Here is a 13,193-nt window from a genome sequence, read left to right on the forward strand (position 1 = left end):
TGTGTGCCTGTAATCCCAGCTACTCGGGAGGCTGAGGTGCCAAGAACAGCTGGAACCCAGCGGGTAGAGGCTGCAGTGAGCCAAGATTGTGCCACTGTACTCCAGCCTGGGAGACAGAGCAAGACTCTGTCTCAAAAAAAAAAAAAATCCTTTGCAAAATAGTTTAAAATTGCATTTAAATAAAATATTAATACTTGTAATGTGTAAACACTGGATATAATGGTTTTGCTTTACACAACAGTGGTGGTAACTCTGAAAACTTTCTGCTGGTTTAATCATAAAATGGAAATAGTTTACAACACACACTAAAGGGACTCGTTATTTAAAATATTACTACACCATGTTAACTTATAAAGAGAGAAAATGTTTCATAATCTGTTCTACATGCTCAATAAAACTCTAGTATTCTGAATCAGAAAGCTAATGTTGGCTGAAGAAACAATAGTCCATTTCACAAGTCTTTGAGACTGAAAAGACAAAGATTTATTCCTATATAAAGAGTGAGCTTCCCCAAAATGCCTGTATATCTTTAGGTTTATAAATTGAATTATACACATTTTTCAAATTAGAAAAGTTCAACATATTGAGTGAATTTTTAAAGAGCATTGACAAGAACTAAACCTGACCAATCTGTTTTAGAAGTTATTAGTTGCTTCTACAATTATCTTTCTAGCAGTTTCTGTATTGAAATCTTATAACAGCCTGCGTGATATAGCTTTTTTTTTTTTTGAGATGCAGTCTTGCTCTGTCGCCCAGGCTGCAGTGCAGTGGTGCCATCTTGGCTCACTGCAACCTCCGCCTCCCGGGTTCAAGCAATTCTCCTGCCTGAGCCTCCTGAGTAGCTGGGATTACAGGTGCCCGCCACCACACCCGGCTAATTTTTTTTTTTTTTTGTATTTTTAGTAGAGACGGGGTTTCACCACGTTGGTCAGTCTGGTCTTGAACTCCTGACCTCGTGATCCACCCACCTCAGCCTCCCAAAGTGCTGAGATTACAGGTGCGAGCCACCCTGCCCAGCCGATATAGCTTTTAAAAAATCACTGGATGGCCGGGTGTGATGGCTCACGCTTATAATCCCAGCACTTTGGGGGGGCCGAGGTGGGCGGATCATTGGAGCTCATGAGTTAGCATGGGCAACATGATGAAACCTCGTCTGTATTTAAAAAAATACAAAAATCAGCTGGGAGTGGTGGTGCATGCCTGTAGTCCCAGCTACTCAGGAGGCTGAGGTGGGAGGATGGCTTGAGTCTGGGAGGCAGAGGTTGCAGTGAGTCGCGATCATGCCACTGCACTCCAGCCTGGGCTATAGAGCCAGTCTGTCTCAAAAAAACAAAAACAAAAACAAAATCCTTGGAGGCTGAGCACAAGCACAGTGGCTCAGGCCTATAATCTCAGCACTTTTGGGAGGTCGAGGTGGGAAGATCATTGCTTGTGGCCAGGAGTTTGAGACCAGCCTGGGCAACATAGTGAAACCTCATCTCCACACAAATAGAAAAAAATCATTTGAGTTAGGAGATCTGGATTCTGCTTCCAACTTTTTGTTAATCACTTCGCCTAATTACCAGTATGACCCTAGATTACATATTCATTCAGTAACTATTTACTTAGAGTTCACTGGGAACCAGTAAGTGCTATTGTCTCAGTGGAAGAATAAAATAAAAACTGAATGAGCTATAGAAAAGGGCTAAGAAAGCTAATGGCATGTGTGAGAAACCATGAGCAGCTGGGTCAGAATGTGGAGGGCCCTAAAAGGTCAAGTTATAGAGACCGGACTTAATTTCATAACATATGGGCAATGGGAAGCTACTGAAGGCTGGGCAGAGTGACATAATTTGATTTTTAACAAATATAACGCTGGTACCAGCACACAGGACAAGATGGAAAAGAAAGACTGGAAGCGAAGATATTAGGGTAACAAATCAAGAAAGGAATTTTAAAAGGCCTAAAATATGGTGAAGGAAATGAAGAGGAAGGGAGAAATTCAAGCAATGGAATGGTTAAAATTCAGTTATGGAATGAGAAGAGTGAGGCTTAGGGAGAGTAACTGCCTCTAAAGTTGCAAACATGGGCGACCAGAAAGACTGACTCTAATGTGAAAATAATAAAATTTTAGAAATAAGTATATGCAATTTCCAAAACCACCTCACTTCTGTTGCATGTATATAATTTCTAAAATGGGAATATGATCTACCATATTCTTAAAATCTTCTAAGGAGATTTTAAGAATCAAGTAAAATAAAGTACATGAAATCATACCAAAAATTATGAAGTTTAATAAAAATCTTTTTCTTTTTTTTTGAAAGATGGAGTATCGCTCTGTCACTTAGGCTGGAAGGCAGTGATGCAATCTTGGCTCACGGCAACCTCCGCCTCCCCGGGTTCAAGCAATTCTTCTGCCTCAGCCTCCTGAGTAGCTGGGGTTATAGGCATGCACCACTACGCCTGGCTAATTTTTGTATTTTTAGTAAACACGGGATTTCGTCATGTTGGCCAGGCTGGTCTCGAACTCCTGACCTCAGGTGATCTGCCTGCGTAGGCCTCCCAAAGTGCTAGGATTACAGGTGTGAGCCACCACACCCGGCCAATAAAAATCTTAAATATTACTACTGCCCTTGATTTTTCAAAATCAAACTTCAAGTTTCATTATTAGACTATTTCTCCCTACTACCAAGATTGCTTTGAACAAGACACTAAACATCTCTACATCTCTTTCTTCATCCACCAAATGAGAATAAAAATTCTAACCCTACCAGGTATGGTGGGTTACACTTGTAATCCCAGCACTTCGGGAGGCCGAAGTGAGAGGATCACTTGAGGCCAGGAGTATAAGATAAGCCTGGACAACAAAGTGAGATCCCATCTCTACACAAAAATTTTTTAAATTAGCTGGGTGTGGTGGCACATGCCTGTGGTCTCAGCAACATGAAAGACTGAAGCAGGAGAATCCCTTGAGCCCAGGAGGTCGAGGCTGCAGTGAGCTGTGATTATGCCACTGCGCTCCAGCCTGGGTGAGAGTGAGACCCTATCTCACAAAGAAAAAAAAAATTAAAAATTCTAACCTCAGCTTATGTGGTGAGGCCCAAAGGAAACAGTGTATGTGAAAATATGCTGCAAACTACAGTGTACATAGAAATGCAACAGAGGAACAAAATGCTATTCAGCTCAGCAAGTAAGAAAGGACTGAGTTGTTTGATTACAGATGTAAGGTCTTGAAACCCATGATCAGAAAACTTCAATGTGAGAACCATGAAATTACCAGACTCTAGGAGCTAAGCAGGGAAATCACTGAAAAGTCAAACATTTGACTTCACAAGGCTGTAAGACTCCGAGAAAGATGAAGTGGTCCTTTTCAGGAGAGTAAGAAACTTTATAGTGCTGACTGTGAGGATACTTAGGAAGACAAAGATGGGAATGACAAAAGCCAATCCTAAGAAGAAAAAAAAGTTGTAATTTGCCAAATTCTTCTGTCCAAAACATTTCAAGCAATCAAAAACTTTGAGGACCAACATTAACAATAAACAGGTAAACTACCCCTACTTTCTAAAGAGCACTCTGGTCCTTTTCCCTCACAATGGGTCCTGTTCCTACATCTGTCTCATTTCATCCTTCCTCCCATTTAAATCCAAAGCAGAACATAAACCTAAGAAAACAAAAGAGTATCTTTTATTTAGAATACGAAAGAACAATGGGAAAAATCAAGTTTTGCCTTGCTCCACCCTTGTCCATAAATCTTACCATAATTTTTTAGAATGATACTGATTATTCCAATTACTTTTTCTTATAGCACTCATAAAAAATTTTCCTGTAGAGTGTAGAAAAAAAATTTCTAATTTTTTCCATGTAAATTATCTTTGGTAAAATTTTACATAAAAATTGGCTTCACTGATATATTTTATTGACTACATCAAATTACACTATTTTAAGCCACTGAGTTTTCTCTGTGGCTATTTCTACCAAGTCAAATTTTATAGATACAAATATTACTTTGCACTCATAACTTCTACTGGTATACATATTTATTTGATAGCTGTACATATTCTCCTAAAAAAATCCATGGAATTTTATAATCTATAGTAAAAGTATGAGCAGTCACCCTCAGGTATTCCAAGACTGCTATATATTGCTAAGTGAAATCTATATGCATTCAATCCCTTTGCATACATCTTGCTAAGAGTATCCACAGCTGAGTGGTTAAAATGGAAGAGTCAAAACAACAGGATCGTAATGTAAGGTCTCCACAGTGAGCATGGCTATAACTCTGTCCAAGCATTATTTGAATGACAAATAGTAGAAAGTGATTTTCTAGTCTTCTACATGTATTATTTCTAGTATTCTGCATGTATTGTTTCTGTCATAAATAAATTAGGTTGGTGAAAAAGTAATTGCAGCCTTAAAAGTAATGGCAAAACCCACAATTATTTATGGGAACAAAATAAATTATAAATGTACCTTCTCCAAAATGGCTAAAAAGTGTAAGTTAAAAACTAAAAGTTAAAATATATTAAATAATTTGTATCTTTTTAAATTTTATTATGTAATTTTAATTTATAATAGAGATGAGGTCTCGGCATGTTGCCCAGGCTGGTCTCCAACTCCTGGACTCATGCAATCCTCTGGCCTCAGCCTCCCAAAGTACTGCGATGACAGGTGGGAGCAGCTGCACCTGGCCAATTTGTATCTTATAATAATGCTGGAAGCCAGCTAATTAAGATGATACATAACAAATGGAGCTCTTTGTAGTTACTATGGTAAGAGCAAACTATCTGGGTCTTATTGATTACGATATAGTAGTAGCTAGGCATTGAACAAAAGCAGTCCATTCAACACATCATGAATGCCAATACTTAAAGTTTAACAAAATGTGCTGAAAAGTTATAAAAGCTAACTTTTAAACGCAATAACTGCTATTATAACTGACTTAACAGGATGCTTTATTACGCCATTATCTTATCTACATAAGGCTTTAGCCTCCTGCATAGATGCACACTAACATGCCCAGCTTATTCAGTATCTTGATAAACAGAAGAGAAAAGCCTAAAGACATTTTGTTTCTATATGCAGATGAGTTTTTTTTTTTTTTTTTTTGAGACAGAGTTTTGCTCTTGTTGCCCAGGCTGGAGTGCAATGGCGTGATCTCGGTTCACCATAACCTCCGCCTCCCGAGTTCAATCGATTGTCCTGCCTCAGCCTCCCGAGTAGCTGGGATTACAGGCATGCACCATCACACCTGGCTGATTTTGTATTTTTAGTAGAGACAGGGTTTCTCCATGTTGGTCAGGCTGGTCTCGAACTCCTGACCTCAGGTGATCTGCCCACCTTGGCCTCCCAAAATGCCAGGATTACAGGCATAAGCCACTGTGCCTGGCCCAGATGAGTGTTTTAGCTGCTGTTCTGAAATTCTATCAGGGATATTTCTGACTTTAAAAGCACAACAAACATACTTTGATTTTTGAAAGGTAGATCAAAATCAAGCAACACAACATACAAGTTAAAAAAAACATATAGAAATACCCTGAAAGCTACATGTGAATCGCTGAGAAGTGGCCCCTCTTTTTCGGTGTAATTTATGCTTGAATCTCCAGTGATTAGGTGTACACTTCCTTCCATGCCCGCTACTGAGCTCTGGCAGGCTGTGCTCTCTCCAGGATTCAATGCTTTTGCAAGAGTGTCAAATGCCCTGTATGAAGACATCAGAAGCTATGAGCTTGACCAAACACCGCAATAAAATAACAATTCTACATAGGATTCTGGAATTAAGATTTAAGCCTAAAAAACTGGCCAGGCTGGTCTAGAACTCAAGTGATATGCCCGCCTCAGCCTTCCAAAGTGCTGGGATTACAGGTATAAGCCACATGCCTGGCCTAAAGTCTCTTTTTAAAATCTTGCATAATTAAGGGGGAGAAGCATCTTCATATTTTCATATAATAATATGTTTTTAAAAGTTATATATTTTATCGCTTGAGTCCAGGAGGGCAGGGCTGCAGTGAGCTATGATCACACCACTGTACTCCAGCCTGGGTGACACAGCAAGACCCTGTCTCAATTAAACGAAATTCTTTTCAATTAATTATTTTTTAAGAACATTATATGTATGATATATATATATATGATACTACAAGACTATCAGCCTATTTATTTTGTATACAAAAGTTACTTAGAACAAGGGTAAGAACTTATGTCAACTTTATTATACACAGTACAATAGGTCTTAAATTTTATTTAAAAATTCAGAAAACATTTTACTCATGTTTATTTTTGAAACACATTCTCCCTGTGTCAGCAAGGCTGGAGTGCAGTGGCATGATCATGGCTCACTGTAATCCTGAACTCCTGGGTTCAAGCAAGCGATCCTCCCACCTCAACCTCCCGAGCAGCTGGGACTACATGTGCGCACCACCATGCTCAGCTAATTTTTAAATTATCTGTAGAAACTGGGCCTCACTATGTTGCTAAGGCTGGTCTCCCAACTCCTGGACTCAAGCAATCCTGCCACCTTGGCCTCCCAAAGTGCTGAGATTACAGGCATGAGCTACTGCACCCGGGCAGAGAGTATTTTAAAATGTGTGGTCACATAGCTAAATCTAAACTGTAACAATTTGATATTAGAATAATAACAAACTAATGTTAGCAAATAATTACTCAAAATAGTTCCCCATATTTTTCAATAAGCCTCCTAGAGTTTCTTAAAATCTCATGTTCAACAAAGTATTACTTATTGTGACTCTTAAATGTAGTTTATTCAGTATATATATTATGTTTTGTTGTTGTTTGAGACAGACTCTCGTTTTGTCGCCCAGGCTAGAGTACAGTGGCGTGACCTCGGCTCACTGCAACCTCCATCTCTGGGGTTCAAGCGGTTCTCCTGCCTCAGCCTACCAAGTAGCTGGGATTACAGGCATGCGCCACCACACCCAGCTAATTTTTTCATTTTTAGTAGAGATGGGGTTTCACCATGTTGGCCAGGCTGGTCTCAAACTCCTGACCTCAGGTGATCCACCCCTCTCGGCCTCCTAAAGTGGTAGGATTACAGGCATACGCCACCGTGCCCGGCCAATTCAGCGTATTTTTATCATATCTTTTTTTTTCCTTTAGAGATGGGGTCTAGTTGCCGGTTGACTCAAAATCCCAGGCTGAAGTGATCTTCCCGCCTCAGCCTCCTATACACTAATGTGTTCAGCTTATTCAATATTTTAAATGATAAACGCAGTGTAGGAAAACCCTGAATAAACTGTTTCTATATCCTAAGCATTAATATTTACAGAATAAAAAACAGAATTCTGATACTACTTTCTTCAACTGTAACTTAAAACTGTAGTTGATTAAACTAAACCTTTTACATTAATTTTCATCACTAGAAATTGAGGAGCAGGATCAATATGATTGCCTAGAAAGACAAGTGTTTCGCTCTCCATACACATCTTCATCTTTAGAAGAAAAAATTCCTAGGTTTTAAGACCACATTTCTAATCTTCTAATATTCACTTACTGATTTTGTCATTTAGAATATAACCTTTCATAATGAATGCAGGTTTTCAGTGAAAACTTACTATGCCTTAAATTTTCTAAGTGAAAATAGAAATGTAGGTTAAGCATTCCTAATACTAAAATCCAAAATGCTCTAAAATCAGAAACTTTTTGAGCACCAACATGATGCCACAAGTGGAAATTTCACACCTGACCTCTCATGATGGGTTGCAGTCAAAAAGCAGGTGTATTACAGTTTATTCAGTGTTTATTCCCTGTCCCCAAGGGAAAAAAGATCCTCCCAGCTGAGATAAATCTTTTCTGTATACGCCCAGACTCCCCCAAGTAAGCACGCCCACTAAGGATGATAAAATGGCACATGTACAGGCCAGACATGCCAATGGCAAGTTCCCCCGATTCCCCATGAGGAGCCAAGACCTATGTGTATTACTCACTGTGGATTTTTGCATATTCTCTTCTTTGTGGTGTAAAGATATTTTTGAAAAGGTCAGAAAGGCCTGCATGGTACCCAGAGTAATGCAAACATTCCAAAATCTGAAATCTGAAGTGTTTCTGGTCTGAACAAAGCATTTCGGATAAGAGATAATCAACCTGTATTTAGATAATCAACCTGTATTTGTTTTCTGAAACTTTTATAAATAGCATTTAACATAAAAATGTTTTAAGAAATACTGAAAGACATGTAAACAAAAGGACATTGATAATCAAAAGATACCTTACCTTGAAACATCACCGTTGGTCTGCATTTCTTGAAATTCACACAAAGAGGTATCATCATTGCTTAAGCTTTCAATCATAGACATTTCATTACTATTTTGAGAAAGATCTTTAGTTTTTCCAAGATTCGCTAATGATGTAACCACATTGGCCAATGTACTTAAATCTCCCTGACATGATTCAGCCTTTAAAAAAAAGGGTATTAAAATTCTGTGAATTGGTATCACTATTTTTTTCAATCTGAAATATCCAATTATAGATTATGATATGCCAACAAAAGAACAGTATGATAAATGAAACCTGGAAAGTTAAAGGGCTGAGCTTTCAGAAATTTACTGAGGAAAATACAAGTTTAAAAACATCAAGTGTATTTCTTAAGAAATGTTTATATGTTACTTTGTTTTTTTTTTTTTTGGGAGATGGAGTCTCACTCTGTCACTAGGCTGGAGTGCCGTGGCATGATCTCAGCTCACCGCAACCTCTGCCTGCCAGGTTCAAGCGATTCCCCTGCCTCAGCCTCCCAAGTAGCTGGGATTACAGGCACATGCTACCATGCCCAACTAATTTTTTGTATTTTAGCTGAGACAGGGTTTCACCATGTTGGCTAAGATGGTCTTGATCTCCTGACCTCATGATCTGCCTGCCTCGGCCTCCCAAAGTGTTGGGATTACAGGCGTGGGCCATCGCGCCCGGCCGTATATGTTACTTTTTTTTAAGAGACAAGGTCTCCCTTTGTCACCCAGACTGGAGTACAGTGGCACGACCACAGATCACTGCATCCTTAAATTTCTGGGCTCACTGATCCTCCTACCTCAGCCTCCTGAGCAGCTGATCCTACAGGTGTGCACTGCTATGCCTGGGTTGTTTTTTCATTTTTAGAAATGGGGTCTTGCTGTGTTGCCCAGGCTGGTCTTGAACTCCTGGTATCAAGTGATCCTCCCTGCCTCAGCCTCCTGAGTACAATTTCTAAAACTTACTATACAAACTATAAACTTGTATGGAATATGAAGAATACTAGTGAAGAGCGGGGGAAAAAATGGCAAATGAATTGTTGAACAGACTTCCTAGGATGCCAACTTTTGCCAAACATTGTGTTAATTAAATGTGTTAAAAGGCACTGTGTTAAACACAAACATTAAAAGAAATAGATCAGTTACCCATTATTCTCTTCACTTTTTTGTCACTGGAGTTGAAAACTCTCTTTATATAGGTAAGATACTGATCTATTTGTCTTTTTTTTTTTGAGACAGAGTCTCACTCTGTCACCCAGGCTGGAGTGCAGTGGTGTGATCTCAGCTCACTGCAACCTCCAACTCCTGGGTTCAAGTGATCTTCCCACCTCAGCCTCCTGACTACGGGCGCATACCACCATGTCCAGCTAATTTTTTAATTTTTTGTAGAGATGGGGTTTCATCATGTTGCCCAGGCTGGTCTCAAACTCCTGGGCTCAAGTGATCTACCTGCCACAGTTTCCCAAAGTGCTGGGATTACAGACATGAGCCACCGTGCCCGGCTTGTCTTCATTTTTTTAATGTTTGTTGAAAATGTGTATATTACTTGTGCATTAGCTACAATTCTTTTATAAAAAAGAATTTTCTCTCAACTCTTTTGACAACTCAGAAATATAATTTGTACGGGAAAGGCAGGTAAGTGCTTTATTTTTCTTTTACTTTGTTATCAATTTTCAGAGCAAGAAGCTGATATCCTAGCAATTTCTAATTATGATACATGAGTTTTTCTGAGTATAATTTTTAATTCATAGATTTTCATATATTTGATTTAAATTTATTAAATTCTTTTGTAAATCCTTTCCCATCCTAACCTAATGAGAAGCCTTTTAAGTTGCCTTCTATGGCCTACTGGGCCAACCCCTTAATGGTATCTTCTTATTAATACTTTCTTCATGGTTTTTTCTTTTTGGTGTTTTTTTTTTTTTTTTTTTTTGAGACAGAGTCTTACTCTGTCGCCAGGCTGGAGTGCAGTGGTGCGATCTCGGCTCGCTGCAAGCTCCACCTCCTGGGTTCACGCCATTCTCCTGCCTCAGCCTCCTGAGGAGCTGGGACTACAGGCGCCCGCCACCATGCCCAGCTAATTTTTTGTATTTTTGGTAGAGACAGGGTTTCACTGTGTTAGCCAGGACAGTCTCGATCTCCTGACCTCGTGATCTGCCCGCCTTGGCCTCCCAAAGTGCTGGGATTACAGGCGTGAGCCACTGTGCCTGGCCCTTTTTGGTGTTCTTAATACTAAAATAACACATATGTTCCCATGATGTTTCATTTATTATAACAATCAGTTTCTGTGAGATTTTGGTGAATCAGTAGAATAAAATAATTTTTGTGCCTTCTCCAAATTAATCAATGGTCCAAAAATCATTTACTGAAAACCCTACCAGTTATCATGTTCTTACATAATTAATACCTATATATGCATTTTATTTAACTCCCATAACAACTCTGAAATAGAAATCATCATTCCTCTATTGCTAACCAGAAAAATGACCCAAATAGTAGAGGTGGGACTGGCTGACTGCCAAAGTCTATGCTTTTTTTTTTTTTTAAGAGACAGTGTTTTTTAGAGACACTCCTATCGCCTAGACTGGAGTGCAGTGCCAGGATCATAGCTCACTGCAGCTTTGAACTCCTAGGCTCAAGTAATCCTCTGCCTCAGCCTCCCAAACAGCTGGGACTACAGGCATGTACCACCATGCCTGGGTAATTTTTTTATTTTTAGAGACAGAGTCTCGCTATGTTTCCCAGGTTGGTCTCAAATTCCTAGCCTCAAGGAACTCTTCAACTTCAGCCTCCTGAGCTGCTGGGATACAGGCTTGAGCCACTGTGCCCAGAAAAGCCCATAATGTTAAGCACTGCCCCAAGAAATTTTCTTATATTTGAATAAAAAGTACATTAGTTACAATTTTAAATGCTTTAATATTCACCTAAAACTTAGAAGCTTATATAGTCTCTTCTACCTAGCAACATATCTAACTAGATTCTTTTTTATTTTATTTTATTTTTTTATTGATCATTCTTAGGTGTTTCTCGCAGAGGGGGATTTGGCAGGGTCATAGGACAATAGTGGAGGGACGGTCAGCAGATAAACAAGTGAACAAAGGTCTCTAGTTTTCCTAGGCAGAGGACCCTGCAGCGTTCCACAGTGTTTGTGTCCCTGGGTACTTGAGATTAGGGAGTGGTGATGATTCTTAACGAGCATGCTGCCTTCAAGCATCTGTTTAACAAAGCACATCTTGCACCGCCCTTAATCCATTTAACCCTGAGTGGACACAGCACATGTTTCAGAGAGCACAGGGTTGGGGGTAAGGTCACCGATCAACAGGATCCCAAGGCAGAAGAATTTTTCTTTCTAACTAGATTCTTAAGTTTTTGCCCCTAAAGGCTCTTAGCCAACATAGAAAACTTTCATCTTGTGACTTCAGAGTTTTGGGGCAATTTATCAGAGAAGCTTACCATACGGTTGTCATAACAATTTAATACAAAGATATACAAGAGAGCACAGTGTCTGGGCAGAGTAGTTTGTCAAGGAAACCTAGTTCCCTTCCTTTCTTAAAGGAGTTAATATGTCAGTAAAACCAATTATCATTCTAACCTTGAATCATGCAGACAGGGCTAAGTGAAGTTTTCCAAAATATATGGCAAGAGGCCACTGCCTCACCTAGCAATTACATGCTAAAGCCCAAACTGTAAGATACTTTTATTACTCTTATTTTACAGATGAGAAAGTAAGGCACTAAGAGGTCAAATAACTTGCCTAATGTTATATAGCTAGTAAGTGGTAGATGAAATTTGATTTCCGAGCCTAAGTATTTAGAGCGCCTTAAAGCATCAAGTGACAAATATATAACAAATCTTGCATAAACAGGACAAATAATCTTATAGGTTATATAAAATCAGATCCCGGCCGGGCGCAGTGGCTCACGCCTGTAATCCCAGCACTCTGGGAGGCTGAGGCAGGCGGATCATGAGGTCAGGCGATTGAGACCATCCTGGCTAACATGGTGAAACCCTGTCTCTACTAAAAATACAAAAAATTAGCCGGGCGTGGTGGCGGGCGCCTGTAATCCCAGCTACTTGGGAGGCTGAGGCAGGAGAATGGCGTGAACCCAGGAGGCGGAGGCTGCAGTGAGCCGAGATCGGGACACTGCACTCCAGACGGGGTAACAGAGCAAGACTCCGTCTCAAAAAAAAAAAAAAAAAAAAAAATCAGATCCCAGCTAGGTAGGGAGGCTCATGCACATAACCCCAGCAATCTGGAAGGCTGAGGTGGGAGGGTCACTTGAGCCCAGGAGTTCGAGACCAGCTGGGTAACACAATGAAACTCGGTCTCTACAAAAATAGGAAAAATTAGCCAGGCACAGTGTCACGTGCCTGCAGCCCTAGCTTCTTGGGAGGCTGAGGTGAGAGGATCCCTGGAGCCTGAGAGGACGAGGCTGCAGCAAGCCATTACTGTGCCACCACCGTACCCCCAGCTTGGGTGACAAGAGGGGACCCTGTTTAAAAAACAAACATGGTTGAGAGAAACCCTGATCATAGGCTTCCTAAAATCTGTTTTCAGATATGAGTTTTCAGGAGAAATTTTTGCTTCTTGTTCTCCCAAAGGGCTTCTGACAAGTACAGAAACTCTTCATGTTCAATTTAAATAAACAAACTGTTTTTCCTTTAGACCCTTGGTCTAACATAGAGCTGCTCCAATCTCTAAGAGAACTGGATGACTTGGATACATAAAAGGAGAGCTCTTGCAGTCCTATTCCTACTCTTGACTCAAGTAAATATTTTGATGGAGGTGAGCTAAGAATTTCCTTTTACCTGAAATATTTTAAGTATTTTGGCACTAAAAAATAAAAAAAGTATTTTGGCACTAACAAATCTGTAAGGGAGCATAAAAGAAATATTAAGAATTGTACGGCTGGGCGTGCTGGCTCACGCCTGTAATCCCAGCACTTTGGGAGGCCAAGGCGGGTGGATCACGAGGTCAGG

General features: G+C 39.9%; 1 protein-coding gene across 13 annotated transcripts in view, besides 2 other annotated features; it reads right to left on the bottom strand.

Annotated features, from left to right (window-relative positions):
- NR2C1 (nuclear receptor subfamily 2 group C member 1) overlaps window positions 1-13,193 on the bottom strand; it is a 53,390-nt gene that overhangs the window by 23,328 nt on the left and 16,869 nt on the right. For 10 of the 13 annotated variants that reach the window (XM_006719584.3, XM_047429494.1, XM_005269133.3 and 7 more), the window contains 2 exons: window positions 8,206-8,387; window positions 5,512-5,677 (listed from right to left, as the gene is read on the bottom strand). In XM_006719584.3, coding sequence (XP_006719647.1) covers window positions 5,512-5,677; window positions 8,206-8,387 — 348 coding nt within the window. The remainder of the gene's footprint in view (window positions 1-5,511; window positions 5,678-8,205; window positions 8,388-13,193) is intronic. The other 3 variants (XM_047429495.1, XM_011538717.3, XM_047429499.1) reach the window with 1 other exon arrangement.
- Window positions 11,105-11,957: an enhancer, noted in NCBI's record as "NANOG-H3K27ac-H3K4me1 hESC enhancer chr12:95448437-95449289 (GRCh37/hg19 assembly coordinates)". NCBI's record gives its function as "activates a minimal SCP1, AML or CMV promoter by ChIP-STARR-seq in primed H9 embryonic stem cells {active_cell/tissue: H9 hESC(primed)}" and the evidence as "EXISTENCE:reporter gene assay evidence [ECO:0000049][PMID:30033119]".
- Window positions 11,958-12,809: an enhancer, noted in NCBI's record as "H3K27ac-H3K4me1 hESC enhancer chr12:95449290-95450141 (GRCh37/hg19 assembly coordinates)". NCBI's record gives its function as "activates a minimal SCP1, AML or CMV promoter by ChIP-STARR-seq in naive H9 embryonic stem cells {active_cell/tissue: H9 hESC(naive)}" and the evidence as "EXISTENCE:reporter gene assay evidence [ECO:0000049][PMID:30033119]".

Source organism: Homo sapiens, chromosome 12 (assembly GCF_000001405.40).
Source record: "Homo sapiens chromosome 12, GRCh38.p14 Primary Assembly".
Lineage (NCBI taxonomy): Eukaryota > Metazoa > Chordata > Mammalia > Primates > Hominidae > Homo > Homo sapiens.